The 21,230-nt window shown below is 46.0% G+C and overlaps 1 protein-coding gene across 4 annotated transcripts in view; it reads left to right on the forward strand.

Annotated features, from left to right (window-relative positions):
* The window catches only part of GALNT15 (polypeptide N-acetylgalactosaminyltransferase 15), a 73,545-nt gene that overhangs the window by 25,044 nt on the left and 27,271 nt on the right, over nucleotides 1-21,230 (forward strand). For 3 of the 4 annotated variants that reach the window (XM_005264852.6, NM_001319051.2, NM_054110.5), the window contains exons 3-8: nucleotides 896-1,100; nucleotides 8,780-8,947; nucleotides 11,401-11,518; nucleotides 12,846-13,040; nucleotides 19,680-19,811; nucleotides 20,187-20,291. In XM_005264852.6, the coding sequence (XP_005264909.1) occupies nucleotides 896-1,100; nucleotides 8,780-8,947; nucleotides 11,401-11,518; nucleotides 12,846-13,040; nucleotides 19,680-19,811; nucleotides 20,187-20,291 (923 nt within the window). Of the gene's footprint in view, nucleotides 1-895; nucleotides 1,101-8,779; nucleotides 8,948-11,400; nucleotides 11,519-12,845; nucleotides 13,041-17,046; nucleotides 17,179-19,679; nucleotides 19,812-20,186; nucleotides 20,292-21,230 lie in introns of those variants that run through there. The other variant, NM_001319052.2, reaches the window with a different exon arrangement.

Raw genomic sequence — 21,230 nt, forward strand, 5'->3', positions numbered from 1 at the left:
GGGTCTGTCTTGCTTTTTACCCTGCAATGGTCAGTCATTGACCATGACTGGGGCTGGGGGCAGCATCCTGCATGACTGTCTGGCACCTGCAGCAGAGACCGTTTTAATACCCCAAGGCAAGTCTCCAGGGAAGGGTTAAGATTTCAGTTAGCACCCACAGCAGCTGGGGACATGCAAACCAAACCAAAACAGTTAAGGGGAGCTCAGGGAATCTGAGTAGGACACTATATTAGTCTGTTCTCACACTGCTATAAAGAACTGCCTGAGACTAGGTAATTTATAAAGAAAGGAGGTTTAATTGACTCACAGTTTCGCATGGCTGGGGAGGCCTCAGGAAACTTACAATCATGGTGGAAGGGGAAGCATGTCTTACATGGCAGCAAGTGAGAGAAAGAGAGAGAGAGAGGAGGAAAAACTATCAAACACTTATATAATCATCAGATCTCATGAGAACTCACTATCACGAGAACAGCATGGGGGAAACTGCCCACATGATCCAATCACCTCCCACCAGGTCCCTCCCTCGCCACATAGGGATTATGGGGATTACCACTCAAGATGAGATCTGGGTGGGGACAAAGAGCCAAACCATATCAGACACCAACAGTATCTGCTACATTCTTGCTGCTGCATTTGGAGAATGTTAGCAAGTTCTCCCCTTTCCTGGTTTTCTGACACCATCCCTCTAATTTTTACTGGAGAGAATCATGGCCCACCCCAACCTAACCAAGCATCTTACATCTCAGCAACAACCACACTGTAGTAATGTTTTCGGTTCTTAGGACCCAGGTGCTCACCACAGCTTCCAAAAGAGAGTTGCTGACGATTGTCTTAGTCACAATCTCATCGGTTGTGGCATTTGTCATTCCACTGACCACAACCCTGTTGATTCCAGGACAACTCAAGTCTGCTCTCAGCGAATATGTGGCCAGGCTGGAGGGGGTGAAGTTACTCAGGAGCAACAAGAGGCTGGGTGCCATCAGGGCCCGGATGCTGGGGGCCACCAGAGCCACCGGGGATGTGCTCGTCTTCATGGATGCCCACTGCGAGTGCCACCCAGGCTGGCTGGAGCCCCTCCTCAGCAGAATAGCTGGTGACAGGTAACTTATTCCCTGGGCTTGCAAAGCAAGACATGGAACTGGGAGAAACAGTCTACAGCATCAGCCACTCACAGAGCAACCCACCTATTAATTCCTGAATCTCCATTAGAGAGTGATATATTCCCTTCGGGTTTTCAGATGTGTAAGTTTTTTAAGACTATAGAGTTAGAGTTGGAAAGGAGGTTAGAGGTCTTCATCTACCTTGCTTTATAGATAAAGAAACCGAGGCCTGGAGAACAGCTTCTATGAGGTTGCAAATACTTAAAATTGTATTAAATTGCATGACGAGGGTAACACCTTACCATAGCTATCATTGCCTTTGGTGAAAATTTGGCAATTTTTTTTTCTTTTTCTTTTTCTTTTTCTTTTTCTTTTTGTGATGGCGTCTCGCTCTGTCACCCAGGCTGGAGTGCAGCGGGGCGATCTCGGCTCACTGCAAGCTGCGCCTCCCGGGTTCACGCCATTCTCCTGCTTCAGCCTCCCGAGTAGCTGGGACTACAGGCGCCCGCCACCACACCCGGCTAATTTTTTGTATTTTTAGTAGAGAAGGGGTTTCACCGTGTTAGCCAGGATGGTCTCGATCTCCTGACTTCGTGATCCGCCCTCCTCAGCCTCCCAAAGTGCTGGGATTACAGGCGTGAGCCACCGCGCCTGGCCGAAAATTCGTCAATTTTAATCAAGCTTGTAACATAACCTGGGGAAAAAGTCTCTGAACTACACTAGGCCGTAGATTACTCACCCATAAAAAGAAAACATTATGTTCTCTGATCACTAAACAGCATTCTTTGTTTCCCCAGTTTATATAAGGGGTCCCTAATTTTCTACCTAAGGCCAGTCCTTGGAAATGTGAAGTTGGAGAGGACTGCATTACATTACCCTGTAGACAAGCATCTTAACATTTTTCTTGATCATTTCTCTGCTCTCCTTCCCCCATCTGACCGTCAATCTCTTTCTCACTTCCTTGCTCAAGACAAACAGTTCCTAAACATGTCTAGTCAAACATTACCCTCAATCTGAATATCCTACCCAGGAAAACTGAAACCTGGTGGCTGGCCCACCTTGGACCACCTCAGGCATACCACTTGGAGCTCATGTAGGCATGTAGCAGAGTAGAACCACAATCAATAATTGTTTGATGGTGCCCAGCAAGACAGGACCAATGCTAGAACCAAGCCTTATGACTTCTACCCATGATGAATGTTTATTATCTCACCTGAAGTTAGGGATGATCAATCAAATATAAGAAAAAATTCCTGGACCAGATCGGAATGAATCCTGGAGACATAGGAGTTACCATCAGCCAAATGGAGATGGTTTCAAACGTTCAAATGACAGAAAGTAAATTGTTAATAGTTCAGCATTCCATTTTAACAAAGAAGAACAATCGGAACTCAAGTGAGATCAAGACAGATTAATGTTTCCCAGTTTCATGAGACAGATTGTCTCTTGACTCACATCTCATAAGAAAAGAAGACACACATAAATTCAGCACTAGGACAAGAACTAGGACACAAAAATGCACAAGCTGGCCAGGCACGGTGGCTCATGCCTGTAATCCCAGCACTTTGGGAGGCCGAGGCAGACGGATCACCTGAGGTCAGGAGTTCGAGACCAGCCTGGCCAACATGGTGAAACCCCATCTCTACTAAAAATACAAAAATTAACTGGGTGTGGTAGCGTGCGCCTGTAATCCCAGCTACTCGGGAGGCTGAGGTGGGAGAATCACTTGAACCTGGGAGGCAGAGGTTAAAGTGAGCCAAGATCGTGCTACTGCACTCCAGCCTGGGCAACAGAGCAAGACTCCATCCCGAAAAGAAAAGAAAATGCACAAGCCCTCCAAAGCTGCCATTTTTGATTCTGTTTCATGCAAAGGGCCATCTTGAAATCAGAGCGATGTCTATCATTGGAGTCAGACTCTGAAGTTGATCTTGCCCATTTCCCATCTGATTCCCATTCTGGTATCACAGACAGGTGGCTCTCAGAGGGACCATGAAGATCATCTTGTCTTACCTCATGATTTCGCTATCGAGAACCCTGAGTTCCAGGAAAGTAAAAAAGACCCCTCAGGGTCACACAGCCATTTGACAACTGGGCTGTTTTCTATGCTGCTTTTATGCAGACATTTAGAAATGCAGTAATTAACATCATTAAACTTTATGTATGTGTAACCCTCGCAGACTTCTTTCATATGCCTTCTTTAATGACCCCCATGAGAGGCCTCAGGCAGGTATTTTAGCTTCTGTTTTATAGGGGGAGAAATTGAGGCTCAGAGAGGTGACATGATATGTAAGGGCAGATAATTCGTAGCTGAGTCAGATTTTCTGACTCTGGGTCCAGTGCTGTTTTTATTGTGTACATTTTCTTTTTAAGAGTTGGAGAAGCTGGTCAGGGAGGAACATTAGTCATCCCTAACCCCACAACTGGTTATGAGACATGTGTTACCTGCTGCTGTGAGTCCCTCGTATCTGCTTCTCACATCGGGGCCCCATTTCCCAGAGCTAGGTGAAGGTAGAAAGACGTGGCACTACCTCAGTGTCCTAGGCTAGAAAGAAAATGAGGCTCCCTGGGAAGCCCTTTGTGATTAAGAGACATTCTAGTTTCCTGTGCCCTTCCCCTCTCCTCTTTTCCTCTCCTGTCTGTCTCTGCCTCTCTACCTCTCTCACGGTCTTTGTCTCTCTCTGTCTCTTGGTCACTCATTCTCTCTCTCTCTCTCTCTCTCTCACACACACACACACACACACACACACACACACACACACACACACAGTGGGCCTCTGATCCTGGTGTGTTACTGGCTTGCCTTCCTCTTTGGGTTCCATCTCTTCTGCGTGATGTGACCACATTTTCATCATCTCTACACCTCATTCATGGCTTCTTGTCCACTGTGTTTTCTCTGGGCCCTAGTGTCCAGCTTTTAGGCACTGGCAGGTGAGGATCTGGAAGAAAAGCCACCTTTCTGGTATCTGAGTCCCACTCTCTCCACTCCACCTGGCAACGCTCTATGAGCTGTGGCAGGGAGAGCAGCCTCATTCAGTGTGTGCTTTACTCCCCCAGGGACGTCGCCCACGTGCCTCATACAAAGCCAAGCTGTGGAAGGCATTTGGTGCAGCTCCTCACATGGAGAGGAGAGGGGGCCCAGCTGTCTCCAAGGCTTGTGTCAGGAGACATTCTGTCACCAGATGAGGACACAGTGCCCAAAAGACAGAAAAGGGTCTTTAAGAGCTCTTATAAAAAAAAAAAAGTGGGGTGGGAGTGGTGAGTGAACAGTGCAGTAAGCCACAAATCAGCTCTTTCAAAGAGCCGTAGCCTCCTCCACACCCTGGCCAAGGAATTCAGAGCCTGCTGACCAGCCTTTGTTCCCTGTCCCTGCCTAGCAGGTTCCCACTAGCCATGTGGCAACTTTATTTGAATTGGTAGAAATCCCTTCCTCATGACCATTCCTCCTGACTCCCATTCCTCAGAAAATTGGTCATAATATACTGATTTTATTAGAATAAGACATCTTAATGCCAACTGTCAGCAAGTTGTTGAAATAAAAATGCAAATTTACAGTAATGATAATATTAGAGATGTTCTCTTGGGTTGCACAGTGCGCAACTCCTGTAACTGTTCATAGCAACCCTACATAGAGTCTCCCTATGGGCAACTGATTTTAGGGCAGCCCTGGGAGATGCTGATTGATGGCCAGTTTCTACACAAAGTAACAATGATGGGAATCAAGACTAGCTGTTGTATCCAGCTCTCAGCTGACTTGTGTTGACTGCCAGCTCTCATACCCAAGCCAAGCAGTGGAAGCCATACCCCTGGAAGGATGAAGGTTTCTAAGGGGAAAGGGACAGTCTTGAAAGGGGCTGAAAGATGATATCATCTCAAGAAGCTGAACAAGTTATCTCTTACTTGAAAATGGGTCTGGTCCCTATCTGCGAGACATCCGGTCCTTCAGGATCAGCCAGGGGTGCTATGGGGAGAAGCAATGTGGGGCAGGGAGAAGAACACCTCCCACTCTGCCCTTTGAAGGGTTAAATGATGGAAAGCAGTGTAAGAACCCCTTGTGCTTGTGCATGTGAGTCAGTGTGTGTGTGTAAGCATGTGAGAGTCTGAGTGTGGGGGGGAGCGAGCATGTGCGTGCGTGTGTGTGTGCGCGCGCATGTGCGCGTCAAGGAGCAGCAGGAGGTCAGGATGCCTCCTGCCCCCCCAGAGGGAGCAGCCTTCTTTGGCTCAGGTGCCCCAAGGAAACTCTCCAGCAACCATCGTACTTCATACCCTTCAGCATGACACGTCCTCGTATCTGCCCCTGGAAAAGCCGATGCCAGTCCTGCGGTCACAACTGAGCAGCAAGAGCACTGGGAAGGGAGAATTCAGAGCCTTCTGCTTCTAGTATAAGAGACTTTCCACAAACACCAAGAATACGCATGAACTTTCAAAATGGCTTGTGTATCATGGACCTTGAGGAACATCCAGGCTCACGAGAATTAACAAGGAATGAGATAAACGAGGGCTTATTCTTTATTGTGGTAAAAGGTTATGGGAAGCTTGAAACTACAGTTAGCTCTTGAATATCTGGACAGTAATGTATTCGTTGATCTCACGTATTTCAGTGAACCAGTCTTTGTTGGCAGCTTGACTCCTTCTGTTTGCCTTTTGAAACATAAGCACTTGATCTCCTGGAACTTAGGCTCAACATAGGATCAACCTTGTACCTGCCTGAGGGTTAAAACTCAATTCACAGGTGAGGGACTGACGAAGTAAGCAGACACTTCCAGCTCCTTCCAAGTCAAACGAGGTCAGCTCGCTATTTTGCTTGACGTGAATTCCAAGAACACCAGACACATCGGTAGGTACAAAACCACAAAGCTAAATAGAAGACTGTGGGTTTTTTATTTGAATTAATCACCGTTTTTGAGTCAGTAGACTACAGTTAGTAATTTAGTCCTGCTAGGCAGCCACTGTGGTCCATGGGAATAAAGACCAAAATAGAAAACACTCCTCACTTCATTCACTGACATTTTATTCTTTATCTCTATCCAAAATGTACTCAGGGAAGCTCATGATTAATCACTCTTGTATACAGTTAAAATAGAGGAAAAAGAAGATTTCAGAAAGGAAAAGAGGGTATTGGGAATCAGGGGTAATACAGTTATTAGAAGTGAGTTTTACATGTGACTCTGAGCTTCCAGAAAGACAAAACAAAAAGAGAAACATAATGAATTTTAGAATTCTCATTTTCTAATAAAAAGCAACGTACTCCTTTGTTAAGAAGTACACAGCACAGGCTGGGTGCAGTGGCTCATACCTGTAATCTCAGCACTTTGGGAGGCCAAGGCTGGCAGATCACTTTGAGCTCAGGAGTTCGAGACTAGCCTCAACAACATGGCGAAATCCCATTTCTACACGCACACACACCCCCACACTAGCCGGGCATGGTGGCTCATGCCTGTAGTCCCAGCTACTCGGGGAGCTGAGGCTGAAGAATCCTTGGGCCTGGGAAGTGGAGGTTGCAGTGAGCGCAGATTGTGCCACTGCACTCCAGTCTGGGCGACAGAGTGAGACCATTTAAAAAAAAAAAAAGGCCGGGCGCGATGGTTCACGCCTGTAATCCCCAGCACTTTGGGAGGCTGAGGTTGGGGGATCACTAGGTCAGGAGATCGAGACCATCCTGGCTAACACGGTGAAAACCCGTGTATACTAAAAATACAAAAATTAGCCGGGCGTTGTGGCGGGCACCTGTAGTCCCAGCTACTTGGGAGGCTGAGGCAGGAGAATGGCGTGAACCTGGGAGGCGGAGCTTGCAGTGAACCGAGATCACGCCACTGCCCTCCAGCCTGGATAACAAAGCGAGACTCTGTCTAAAAAAAAAAAAAAAAAAAAAAAAGAAAGAAAGAAATACACAGCATAGAGGTCTAGGATGAATTGATTGCAGGAATGCTTGAATACAAGTCCCTTTCTTGTCCTCTTATGATTGCTGAAGGTGGCACAAATTTCATGCATTTCTTCCTAATTCAGCCACACAGTTCCCTGGCTCTTGATTCCAAAATTCCACAAAATGCTTTGCCAATAGCCAAATTTATCCATCTGCCTGATTCATTACACAGTAAGTGGAGGCTCTGGAAGGGGCTCTGGGTGCCCTCATTTCCTCCCTGGTCTAGGTTCTCAGTTTTCTTAGGTCAATACAGGGTACCCCAAAATAGGGGAAACCCAGAGGGATTATGTTCCCTTTGCCTTCCAGCAGAAACAATGTGAAAGAGGCAGGAAAAGCATATTAAGATCCTTGCTCTAAATATAGACCCCACAACTCCTTACACTTATGTCAGTTACCTAAAGCCATAGATTAAAGCAGATAATGAAATCATGGGGCCACCCTGGCTCTATCCAAGACAATGGAACAGAGATGGAATTTGATGGTAGTGTAAACACAATGTGGCTAGTATCTCCCCTCCCAGGAATCTCACTTCTCTTAGAGTGATATCTTCTAGCCACCCTGAAGTTCAGGCCTGATTCATTCCATGGCACAGATTGAAGACATAATTACCATGACAGGCCAGGGGGAGAAAATGTGATTGAGATATTGGCTAGGTGGATAGCAGCTCCTGGGACACCTGAGTGATTACCTACTTAGTTAAAAAGTATATGACCCATGTCAATTTCTCACATCACTCTGCAGTCATATCTCCAGGCTGTAAAAAAAAAAAAAAAAAAAAAAAAAAAAAAAAAAAAAAAAAATTGGGCCTAAAATTCCCCACCATTACCGGGAAATGAGCAAATAACCCAAAATAGTCAGGACTTTGATTATAGATACCAGATGTTCATATATGCATGCATTGACAGTAGGGTTACTTCTAGGGCTTGGAAATCCTGATTTCTCAAGCCAATCCAGTTTTACACTACAAGGAGGAAGAAGAACTAGACCTGAGAGCAGGGGTCCATAAACTCTCTGACATCGTGCACAATATTTTTTATATGGACATGGAAGATTTCATTCAGGAGTGGCCCATAGTTTTCCCCTGAATCTCAAAGGGATCAAGCACCCCAAAAGAAGTTAAGAGCCACAGTCCTAGAGCATTGCAGCTGAGAAAGGCCTTTGTGGGAAGTAGTTCAACCTCCCATTCTACAAATGAGGAAACTGAGGCCCAGAGAGGTATAACAGGTATCTCAAGATTACATAGTTCATTAGTAGCAGAGCTGAGCCTAGGACCCGTCTCTGTATCTCTCAGTGCTGTCAAGAAAGGTTTTTGAAGAAAGAAAAGTACTGGCATGCTCTTTAAAGCAATACACCCTAATTCCTTATGGAAAAACATTTTCTAGAACTGTGCTATATAATATAAATATAACACAAGCCACATATGTAATTAAAATACTTCTAATAGTCACATTACAAAATAAAAATAAACAGATGAAGTTAATTTTAATAATATAGTTCAGTAAACCCAATATATCCAAAATATTACCATTTCAACATATAATCAATGTAAAAATTATTAAGATTTTTGCATCATTTTTTCCATACTAAGTATTCTTAATCCAGGGTGTATTTTACACTTACTCCACACCTGATTTGGATAAACCCATTTTAGGTACGGGTGTCTGGTAGCCACCATACTGGGCAGCCCATGTACAGACTGTTTCCAGCCCCAGCAAGTAAATGCTTTACGTCCCTTGTTTAATTCCACAATTCTTTCCAGGAGCCGAGTGGTATCTCCGGTGATAGATGTGATTGACTGGAAGACTTTCCAGTATTACCCCTCAAAGGACCTGCAGCGTGGGGTGTTGGACTGGAAGCTGGATTTCCACTGGGAACCTTTGCCAGAGCATGTGAGGAAGGCCCTCCAGTCCCCCATAAGCCCCATCAGGTGAGTCCCCATTTCACACCTGCTTTGCCATTGCCTCCTCAGGATGGACTCTGCAGCCTGCCTGCCTGGGGTCTAATCCTACCTCCACAGTTTCCTAGTAAATTACTTAATGTATGCCACAGTTTCCTTTTCAGTAAATTGAGAGCAATCATAGTATTTACCTATAAGGGTTACCCTATAAGGGTTGTTGTGAAGATTGAATGAACTAATATGTGAAAAGCACTTAGAGAGTGCCAGGCACCCAGATGTAGGTGCTACCACCATTATATTGTCATATTCATAAAGTTCCGACAGGGTCTTCCAGATAGCATCAGTTAATGCCCCAGTGTGTGGCAACCTGAGATGGAATCTTGGCCCAGCTCTCTCATCAGGTACAGTGTGAATTCCTCAGGTCTCGTCTTAGCAAATAGGAAGAATTCAACCAGGTGAATGCTAAGAACCATAGGTCTCAAATATATCCTATTGTATGGGTCGCTTCTCACATGTTTGGTTTTTGGATGACTCTTCTATTTAAGTAGAAGTACTAGATATCTTATGCATAACAAATCACCTCAAACTTGGTGTAAAACACAGCCATTTTATTAAGCTCATGAATTCTGTGGGATATGAATTCTGAAAGGACACAGTGGGGTTGGTTGTCTGCCCCCATGGTTTCTGGGGTACATAAGGATTTTTAAAGTTTCCCAACACTATAAAGCCAGTGAGAGGTGAATCCAGAATTTAAACCCAGACAGCCAGGCCCTTGAGACGACTGCTTCACTGCTATGCTATATTTTAAATACAAGGCCACAGTTCATTATTCACAATTGCAAAATCCAAAAAGCTCTAAAAACCAAACATTTGTTTAATAATTCATTAGGCAGCAGGCCAGATGCAGTGACTCATGCCTGTAATCCTAGCACTTTGGGAGGCAGAGGCGGGCTGATCACTCGAGGCCAGGAGTTCGAGACCAACCTGGCCATCATGGCGAAACCCCATCTCTACTAAAATTACAAAAAAAAATTAGCTGGGCATGGTAGCACACTCCTGTAGTCCCAGTTACTTGGGAGGCTGAGGCACAAGAATCACTGGAACCCAGGAGGCAGAGGTTGCAATGAGCTGAGACCACACTACTGCACTCTAGCCTGGGTGACAGAGCAAGATTCTGTCTCAAAAACAAAAAACAAAAACAAAATCATTAGGCAGCAAAAGCTGCCCTGAACTGACATGGGGTGTCTGCATTGGCCTTATTTATCCCACTTACTGCTTACTGTGAAAATATGTGTGTTTCATCAAAGAAATATTAGTATATTTGACTAAAGAGTGCCGGGCAGACCCCACTAGGACTGATGTGTGGTATACGATGTATGTCCCTCTTTAAAGTCCAAAAAATTCTGCATTAAAAAGCACACTGGTCCCACAGGTGTCAGAAAAGGAATGCTGAACTTGTAACATCAAAATCCAGTGAGCGTTTAAAATGTGGCATGCACAGAGCTACATATTTTACATGGCTTACCTTAGTCATCCCGCAAAACCCAATTATGAAACACTATTTTATCCCCAATTAGAGGTGAGGAAGCTGAGCTCAAAGACACATAGCCCACCTAAGATCTTACAAATTGGGAGTGGCAGAGTTGGAAATTATACTGAATAATCATTACAATATCAGTTTTTAGTATTTTGGTATAATGTAGAATTTTTATAACCTAAAGACCAGTAGCTTTGTTAATGCATTACTATTTCTTTGGTAATTAAGAAAAATCTGAACTCTTAGTCATTTACACTTTGAAAAATTCCCAGAGTTTGGCTGCATTCAAATTTGTTCCTCCTAGATGAAGGGACCCTTTTTCAAAAACCCTCTGACTACATCTTTCTCTGTTTAAAATCCCTCTGAGGGATATTATGATCTTAATTCCCTTATTAAAGGTTTCTAGCTTCTTGTGTTTATAAATCATGTATTTTTCCCCTAGGGCAGTGGGGACTTATCTGCTTCCAGGGTCCCTGGTGGATTCATCATAGAATTGGGAAGAGGGTGGATGGTCATTAGGAAAACAGAAGAGGGTGAGAAAAAGAAAGGAGGAAAGAGCCTGACCATGTCGCCGTGTCAGGCCTGGTGCTACCTCTCTTAGAGTACCTGATTTTAAGCAAGGCCTTCTTCCCAAACATCTTTCCAGAGGGACTCAAGCCAGAGGGCAGGGGAGTCTCAGGTGTGGTCCCTAGGCCCTCTCTAGGAGCAGTATCTGAGGACAGAGTATAGAAGGCCCAGGCAAGAATAGCTCTCTTTCCATCAAACACTGGGATTTCTGACATCGTGGCTCTGCTCCAGTCTTGCAATTAAAAAATTGCATTTTACCTGAGCCTAAAGCCTGTTCTCTCAGCCACTGGAGCTCCCACCTGGGAAGCCCCAGCCCCCAGCCTCGCCTGCTGTGCTCTGGGTTCTGAACTGCAGTGTCCTGCCTGTCTTCTGTGTCCAGGAGCCCTGTGGTGCCCGGAGAGGTGGTGGCCATGGACAGACATTACTTCCAAAACACTGGAGCGTATGACTCTCTTATGTCGCTGCGAGGTGGTGAAAACCTCGAACTGTCTTTCAAGGTATGTCCTGGACCAAGGGAGGACAGAGGTGGGATCTCTGGAGTGGTGTGTATGGTCACAGCTCAGAGGCAGGCATTAGAAATGTCACTGGGAAGGAATGAGGCTGTGGGAAAATTATAAAGTCATTCCTGTGTTGTGTGTCAAACCTCCCATTTCTCACAGTTTCCCATCTCTCCTGTGCTGTAGCTTGGTTTCACTCTCAGTGCCTTCAAAACCTGCTTCCAGGAATAGGCATACTCTCAGTTATTTTAACTGCTGTGCGGAGATTCCAGAGGCTCTCATACATTCTCTATTCACAGCGCTCTTAGCATCTTAGTAATTTTTTCACAGCACCCATAGTCCAAAACAAATACCTGAAGTTCTGTGTATTGAGTAGTTTGGTCCAAACAATGTAATACTTGTCATAAAAACTTAGCACCTGTTGGGCACCACACAACTTCTCAAACCTTGGAGTCACCCTCATTTCCTGTCCCACATTGCTTTTCTAGCATGATACTTGCTTTTTCATCACAGTATCCTCCGAAAACCCAACACCAAAAAAAATTCATCATCAAGAGTGCAGAGATCTAATGCTGAAAGTGTGAATTACCTGACGCTTGTATTCTGCATGAAGTCCAACAGATGTCACCGTGTTTCTCTCAAAAATTTAACCCCAGACCCTATGAGTTTGCTGTGGCACCCTGGGGCACCTTGGCACATAATTTGGGAACTCCAGTTTTGGTGTTTCCATTCATATGCTGCTTATCCTAGGACAGTACTTCTACTTTAACCTTTATCCTCAAATGTGGAATGAAAGTCTTCCTGCCGAATGAACTCCAGCCGTTTGGGAGTGGGAGAGCAGAGGGAAATTTCTTGAAATAGTAAAGACTGTGTCTCAGGAAAGCTTGCTTCTGTCTCTACCACAAACAGCTTCTGGTGTCTTTGTAGCACACTTCACAAGCTTTGAGATATTCCCGGACCACTGAGATCATCTTTTTCCCTGAGGAAGTGTCCTTTGGGGAATAGGGGTGCTAATTCACATGCTACATCTCTCTAAGTGCTGGACCTGCATGTGTTTGAAGGGCAGCATATTCAGGTAGTTGCCTGGGGATGGCCCTCTTGTCCCCATTTTGGGACAACTACCTCTATTCTCTCCACCCTGTCACTCCCCTGCCCAGAACCTCCAAATCTGGAAACTCTACGCCACCCTGAGGACCATAATCATCTTCACCATTGAGTGCTCACGATTTCCTGTGCATTTTGCCAGCCCCTCATAGATAGGGCTCCCTATTTCCCGCCGTTCTTAAAGGTGGAATGCTGAGGTGTTTATCTTTTCCCTTCGTGGCAGGCCTGGCTCTGTGGTGGCTCTGTTGAAATCCTTCCCTGCTCTCGGGTAGGACACATCTACCAAAATCAGGATTCCCATTCCCCCCTCGACCAGGAGGCCACCCTGAGGAACAGGGTTCGCATTGCTGAGACCTGGCTGGGGTCATTCAAAGAAACCTTCTACAAGCATAGCCCAGAGGCCTTCTCCTTGAGCAAGGTAAGGAGAGAGCCAAGTGGGGCTTCTGTGTCCAGCACAGGGCCACTAGCAGGAGGTGGGCCAGGGAGGGCTCCTTTCTCTTGCCTGGAGGGGAAAACAGAAGATTCTGGCTTGAGCTTCCCTCATGCTGCCCTATTTTAAGTGGCTCCTCCACCTGGTGAGGCTGTCCTTTGTCTCTCTGGCTTCTCCATGGGACAGCACAGCTGGCCTTGGCCTGAAGCTCCCTAACATCTATGGGATGACATCTATGGGATGGGATCCCTCACCTGGGGCCAGGGGAGGGGTTGGCACAGAGAAGCGATGAGATGGGTCTCCAAGGCCAGGTCTCCTTTCATCCTGAGCAAAGGGCTCAGGGCTATGAAATGATCCAAGACATGAAACAAATATTAAATATAAAAATAGAGTCCAAAGGCCAGGCGCGGTGGCTCATGCCTGTAATCCCAGCACTTTGGGAGGCCGAGGTGGGTGGATCACGAGGTCAGGAGATCGAGACCATCCTGGCTAACATGGTGAAACCCCGTCTCTACTAAAAATACAAAAAATTAGCCAGGTGTGGTGGTGGGCGCCTGTGGTCCCTGCTACTCGGGAGGCTGAGGCAGGAGAATGGCATGAAGCTGGGAGGTGGAGTTTGAGGTGAGCTGAGATCACGCCACTGCACTCCAGCCTGAGTGACAGAGCAACTCCATCTCAAAAAAAAAAAAAAAAAAAATAGAGTCCAAAAAAGCCACAGAAAAATAAAAATTTTAAACATTTAAATGTCCACAAACAGCACATTATCAATTGGTCAGTGGCTGCTCAGCCCAGTCCTTCCAGATTGACCCATAAATGCTGTTTAATGTGGGAAATGGGTTCACATTAATGCTTGCTGTGCTGAAAGTGGGGGCTCCAAAGACAAGATTCCCAGGACCCACAACAGTCCTGGAGCAGCTCCCACAAGCCCCTTAGCAGCCCACACTGCTGGGGTGTGAGTTAGATGTGAGTTTGCATGCCACAGATGAAGCCTAGGCCGCTTAAATGGAAGGACATGCCTGAGTGCAGGGCCAGCCTGACAGGGAAGCCCCATAGAGCAGCCCCAGAGCTTCCCCTTCTGCCCTGGTCCTCAGGGCGCTGCCTCCTCCCCATTCTAGATCCAATCCTTTCCCTAAGTGGGAATAGCCTCCAGGGCCTGGGATGTGTCAGGGCTCCATGAACTTCAAGGATCTTTGTTTCTTTAGCTGGGGAGAGTGTTAACAGTACACAGAGTCCTGGGACTCAACAGTAATTCCCAAGGTCTAGGCAGGCTACAGTCTCCTCTTGGACCCCGTCGGTTAGTCACACTATTAAACAGAGTGGCACTGGCTCCTTTCCTGGTGCAGGAGAAATGCTGCTAACAGCAGCCTCCTTCGTTCCTCCAGGAAGGCATTGGGATTGAAAGGAAAACTCTCACAAGGACCCAGCTCACTTACTAGCTAGCATCTTTGTTCTTCTTTAGTCTCCTTCTCCATCGCCATCTGTGGGAAGTGGAAGCATGTGTCCAACTCTAGACACCGATCTAGAAGCTGTATAGTCTGATGGTTAAGCCCATGGACTCCAAGAACAAGATGGTTTGGGTTTAAGTATTGGTTATATGATCCGAAAGTTACTTAAACACTCAGTGTTTCTGCTTCCTCGTTTGTTAAGCTTTCCATCTGTTGTTAGGAAGAATAAATACGTTAATAAATCCAAAGCACTTTAGATGAGTGCCTGGCACTGAGTAAGCCCTGCTTGTGTGTTTACTATTAATACCATCGTTATTGTCATGGCTACTAATGGTCAAAAAAGGTCAACCAAGCACCTGCTCTGTGCCAGGCCCTGGGTGGGTCCTGCAGGGGACAGAGAACCATACCCAATGCTTATCAGGTTCTTGGTGGGGCAGGAGCTCCTCTGGAAGAGATAATGTTCACAGAGGTGAGAGTGATTCATCCTAGACAGGGTCATGACAGACATCTTTTCAGGGGAGGTCACATCTGAAGAATGGCTGAATGGGTTCAACTCAGACATCCAGAGGAGGAGTTGGGGGAAGACTCTGGAGCCCCTGAGGGTCAGGCTAAACAGTTTAGACTTTATTCAATTAGCAACAGGGAGCAACTGGCCTTCTACAGAGTTCTGTAGAGGTCCACAGAGCTTCTCTGGTTTTTACTCTCTTGGGTTTCTTTTGGCCAAACCATCTATTTTTCTCTCTTGGGATTTAGTATTAGCTCTTTGCTTTCAGAGGACATTTTCTTAACATTGGCACAGACTGCATTTGTAAAGAACTCTTAAAGAAGTGTTAAATGTTGCATAGTTTTTGATGCGCCAGACTAACTTTCCACCAGACAGGGTCATTAGGACATGGCATGTTGGCTGTGGCCAGCCTAATGCAACAGCATGCAAATTATTTACAGAACTTCAACCTTCTTCCCACATTGGTTGGTGCAATTAGAAGTGCCTGTGAATATATACTTTGTTCTAGACAATTACAGAAATTGGGGACTGGCATGATTTTTTAGAGCATGACTGGTCTGCTTTTGGGAAAATCCAGTTTGCTTGTCCAGATGGTGATTGCAGGATTTTTTAAGTGCTTGTTTGTATTCACCCAAGTCCTTCATTCTATAAAACAGAAAACTGAGGTCCCATGAGAGGGTGAGTTGCTAAAGAGAAGTGGGGAAAGAACCAGAAGTAGAACTAGAACTAGTCCAACCTTTTAGTATTTTTTCTCTCTTAGCTCTCTAACATCGAAACAGTAATCCTCAAATGTAGACACCATACTTTTCCAGAAATAGTTGGACGTCCATAAATAAGCTATCCTCTACAGTTCTGTCTGAATTTGGGGGAAGGCAAGGATGTATTTGGTATATCGAAGGTGCTCGGCTGGGCACAGTGGCTCATGCCTGTAATCCCAGCACTTTGGGAGGCCGAGGTGGGTGGATCATGAGGTCAAGAAATCGAGACCATCCTGGCTAACATGGTGAAACCCCGTCTCCACTAAAAATACAGAAATTAGTTGGGCATGGTGACACGTGCCTATAGTCACAGGTGCTCAGGAGGCTGAGGCAGGAGAATTGCTTGAACCCAGAAGGCGGAGGTTGTAGTGAGCTGAGATCATGCCACTGCACTCCAGCCTGGCAACAGAGGGAGACTCCGCCAAAAAAAAAAAAAAAAAAAGAAGAGGAAGAAGAAGAAGAAGAAGGCGCTCAATAAATGTTCCACAGACTTACAAGCTCAAAAAGGGCAGGAAGAGTATTTATTCTGCTGACCTTTAAATCTCCAATGCCTGGTTGAATCCCATGCACATAGTACGTGTTCCATAAACATTTATTGGTGGAATGGAATGGATGGATGGCAAAAAAATTTTTAAACCTGAGATCAACCTTTGGCTCTTGTTATCAGTGGTGAATCTATATGGTTCTGCAGCAACCTCAATTATTGCCTTCTCAGAAGAAAGAATTCAACTGAGGGGCATAAGGCAGAGTGAGGGACCAAAGCAAGTTTTAAAGCAGGAGTGAAAGTTTATTAAAAAGTCTACCAGGAGCTCAAGACCAGCCTGGGCAACATGGTGAAACCTTGTGTCTACAAAAAACTACAAAAATTAGCTGGGCGTGGTGGTGTGCACCTGTAGTGCCAGCTACTCGGGAGGCTGAGGTGGAAGGATGGCTTGAGCTAGGGAGGTGGAGTTTGTAGTGAGCTGATATCGCCCCACTGCACTTTAGCCTGCGAGCCAGAGCAAGACTCTGTCTCGGGAAAAAAAAAAAAAGTTTAGGGCAGAAATGAAAGTAAGTAAAGTACATTTGGAACAGGGCCAAGTGGGGGACTTGAGCGATCAATTAAGTGCGCAGTTTGATTTTTCACTTGGGGTCTTATACATTGGCATGCTTCTGGGGGCTTGTGTCCCTTTTTCCCTGATTCTTCCCCTGGCGGGGGCTGTTCACACGTGCAGTGGCCTGTTAGCCCTTGGGAGGGGAGCATGCGCAGTGTGTTTACTGAAATTTTTCGCATGCTCACGTGAGGCGTTACCAGTTGCGCATTCCCGGAGGAAGGTCATGTACCAGTTAAACGCCACCATTTTGCCTCTTAGTGCACATGCTTGAGCCCACTTGCCCAACTCCTGAGATCATATCGGGAAGCTGATCACCAATTTCAGGTTTTTCTATCTGTTGGGAGACTGCCGTTCCCTGGTGCCAGCTGCAACTAATTATTATTTTAGAGAGACAGTTAACAGCTGCCTAACCAACACCTGATGGTGGCCTGACATCCCTGGAGGTTGGGGGGGTCGGGGAAAATCCTCTCCTGCCCTGCTTATGTCTGACTAGCTACCTAATAAAACACTCTGACCTCTTAGAAGCTATTGACCCTGTGAAAGTCATTTAACCTCTAAGAACTCAGTAACTGTTGTGAGTATACTATAAAATGAAATGTGAAAGAGTGCTATGGAGAATAAGTGCTCGGCTTACTTTCATAAAGTCTACAGGTGAGGTACCTTTTTCTTCTTATATCCATTTGGGTGTCCATTCTCTGATTCACAGATGTCCACTTTGTTCATTTGATGACTTTTGCAAGGAGAATGGCACCCTTATTGGTCAGTGAGAAGAGCTTTAGCAGAGGGCTCCTTTTATTTCTCTCTCTGTTGAGCATTTCCATTAATTCATGCTTTGGAAATGTCCTATCACTTACTTTGATTTCAAGGTTTCAGTGACATTCCTACTTCCCTGAAGGTATTTGATAGCATGAATTTACTTTAAATTTAAATAACCAAAAGTTAATTTTGCCCTAAAGATTTCTATTTCTCCATCCACCCCAAAACCCCCACAAGGATTCTGAGAGACAGAAATCCTGGGCACCCAAAAGACAAGGCCAGACTTTTGCTGCTTGGGGAGCTGAAATTTCCTTGTTTTCTCTTCTCTCAGACATAATTGTACAGAAGGGAAAGTTCATTGTCAGCCTGCCCCTCACTCAAGGTCAAACAAAGATTGGGTAGATTTATCAGTTTATCTCTTTATCAAGGAAAGTAAAGGTGATAAAACTCATATGAAGAAATGTTTCTGTTTTGGTAGCAAAGTCCAACTCTGGGAAAGGTCTACGGAGGTCTCAAATAAACACAAAGAATGCCAAGAAGCCATCAAGAAACTTATACTAATTTACTTAGAGGAAAAAGTAATAGATCCCCTTGGTTTCATGGTGGGTAAATACACTGAATAAACAAGAAATCCCTGACTTAGAGAAGTTTTTCTCAAACTTTGTGTGAAAAAGACTCACCAGGAGACATGGTTAAAATGCAGATTCCAGGGCCTCCAACCCAAACAACTGTATCATCTCTGGGGCAGGGCCCAGGAATCTACATTTTTAACTAGCTCCGTGGCATTTCTCAGGCAGATGCTCAGGGAATCACACTTTGAGAAGTGTCTAGAGAGAATTTCAGTACAACAGACTTACCACATTTCCAGCTGAGGTCTAAAAGAGAGAGGGAAAGCAGAACCAAACCAATCATACTTTACACAGCCTGGTGGACCCGTGTCTTACTGTCAGATTGGAGGCCACCAAGTGGGAACTCTGACATGGCCAGCTCGCTTCCTCTCCCCATGCCAGGAAAGGGTTCTCTCTTTTTTTGTCTGTGGTCATTCCAACCCATCCTTGTCACCTCTCTCTTCCCTAAAAGTATCCAAGATTTGGTACTAAACTTTTGGATACAGTTCTTTGTATCATCAATATGGCCAAAAACATTAATTTGTACTAGTGTTCAGGATTTGCCTTCATCTCCATCCTAGGACAATTGTATCATAAAGGAGAATCTCAAAAAAAGGAGATAGTGTAGCCCAAAAGAATGATTCATTAATGGTACCCAGAGGTGAAGAAAGATAAATTTGCCTTGCCCCAACCCCTAGCCCACGATTTCCCAACCAACTTCATCTCAATTGCCTATGGGTCAGTTCCTGACTCCATGAGGCCCCTCGTAGTTTCTCCTTACACCAAGCTAGGTGCAAAGCCCCACCATTTTGCCAGCTTCTGCAGAAAAATCATTAAAGCACAGATATCATAGACTCTCTCTCTCTCTCTTTTTTTTTTTTTTTTTTTTTTGCGAGGAAGTCTTGCTCTGTCGCCCAGGCTGGAGTACAGTAACACGATCTTGGCTCACTGTAGCCTCTGCCTCCTGGGTTCAAGTGATTCTCCTGTCTCAGCCTCCTGAGTAACTGGGATTACAGGCATGCGCCACCACACCTGGCTAATTTTTTGTATTTTTAGTAGAGATGGGGTTTCACCATGTTGGCCAGGCTGGTCTTGAACTCCTGACCTCAAGTGATCCACCAGCCTCGGCCTCCCAAAGTGCTGGAGGTGTGAGCCACCACTCCCGGCCTATTGTAGTCTTTATAGACTGGAGATTTGAGGGATTGTGGGAAGGGGCTGATATCACTTACAGTCTTGCTGGTTCCACAACTCTCTGTAGGGAAGATCTGTGCTATTCTATCCCTTCCAGACCTTCTTCTCCCAACACATGACCCTCCCCACTGCAGCCCTGGAGAACTGTGGTCTTGGCCCCTTCCTTCTGTCCTGATCCTTTAGCTTCTTCCCAGCCACTCCATCCCCAACCATGTGAATTCTGGGCAAGACAAGCTTTCATCATCCTGCTTGTGTCTTTCTCCTCCCCAGGCTGAGAAGCCAGACTGCATGGAACGCTTGCAGCTGCAAAGGAGACTGGGTTGTCGGACATTCCACTGGTTTCTGGCTAATGTCTACCCTGAGCTGTACCCATCTGAACCCAGGCCCAGTTTCTCTGGAAAGGCAAGGCATGACCCAGGGAAGATGGGGAGGGACAGGGAAGCTTCCCAAGACAAGAACTAGATGTTCAGCTCTTCCATGTCCCTGGTCAACCATTCACGGTTTAGCAGGGCCTCAGAGGCCTTGGGTCCATCCCGTGCCTCCATGCCAGTCTGAGGAAGGTGGCTGAGTTTTGCCCCATTACCCACCCCAAAGCACCTCCTTCAAGAGGCCTGTCCCTTAGGGTCAGTGGCTTCAGCTTTACCACACCTGTTGTTGTGGCCTGAACAATGTGCCTTGGGCTGCACTCCAGAGAATACAGCAAAGGAATGGTGTCTGACCGAGGGTGTCTTTACAGTGGAATCTGGAATTCACTCCTGTGTGTGTGTCCACTTTCAGCTCCACAACACTGGACTTGGGCTCTGTGCAGACTGCCAGGCAGAAGGGGACATCCTGGGCTGTCCCATGGTGTTGGCTCCTTGCAGTGACAGCCGGCAGCAACAGGTGGGTAGTCAGACTTCTCAGGATGGATGATAGCCCAAGAAGACTTGAAAGTGGGCGATATTTTTCTGGGATGCCCCATACTTCCCTTTGAGGTATCTTCTTTCTGTGGTCCCATGTCCCTTGACTGCCATGGTCCCCCACTGTAATGACTCATCACAGCTCTCCTCACCTCACCTCCATCTGTAAGCACAGACATGTGCCATTGTCAGAAAATAAAAGCATCTTAGTTAAAGGGAAATGGAGAAGCCGTTTGGCCAAACTTTTCATTTGACAGATGAGAAAACTGAGGCTTAGGGTCACTAGCCCAGGGATTGCAAACTCAGAAGCCTCCAGGATTCAGGCAGGGTTCAGTTGTCCCAGGACTGAAGAAGAAGGTAATCAAATCAGGATAAGGATCTAGAGAAAACAGGGTCATCCCAGCCTCCAGCACCATTTGGTCATTAGGAAGGTCTCCTCATATCTTAGGAGTAATTCTTCTCTTCAAAATTTTCATCATGGAGTAACTGCCCAAAGTGGTAGAAATCCTCCACCGATGCTAGCTGAGGGCTGGTAGGTCCACTTCTTTTCACAACTGGATCACAACCTAGAAAGCCTAGCTTGTCCCCAAGTCTCTCTCTTTTCAGGGTGTGATAGGGACTTTTAAGTTATCACATCCCAAAGGCCCCTAATAAAACAAACATCAAAGTATAATTTCCTGGAGATATTCACTGGATGAGAATCAAAGATCTGGGGGGCAAAAGACAGCATCTCTCTGAGGGTCTGTGGTCCAGCCCTGCATGGAAGGCTGGCTGAGGCTGGGCTTGGCAGTGCAGGCCCTGGGTTCCTGGGGGCAGGCTGTGGGCCTATAGGACATGTGGGAGGGAGATGCTCAGGATCCATCCGGCCTCCTTTGGCTCTGCCCTTTACCAATCTCCTAGGACATACTGATAGGCATTCACA

The sequence above is a fragment of the Homo sapiens genome, chromosome 3 (assembly GCF_000001405.40).
Source record: "Homo sapiens chromosome 3, GRCh38.p14 Primary Assembly".
Lineage (NCBI taxonomy): Eukaryota > Metazoa > Chordata > Mammalia > Primates > Hominidae > Homo > Homo sapiens.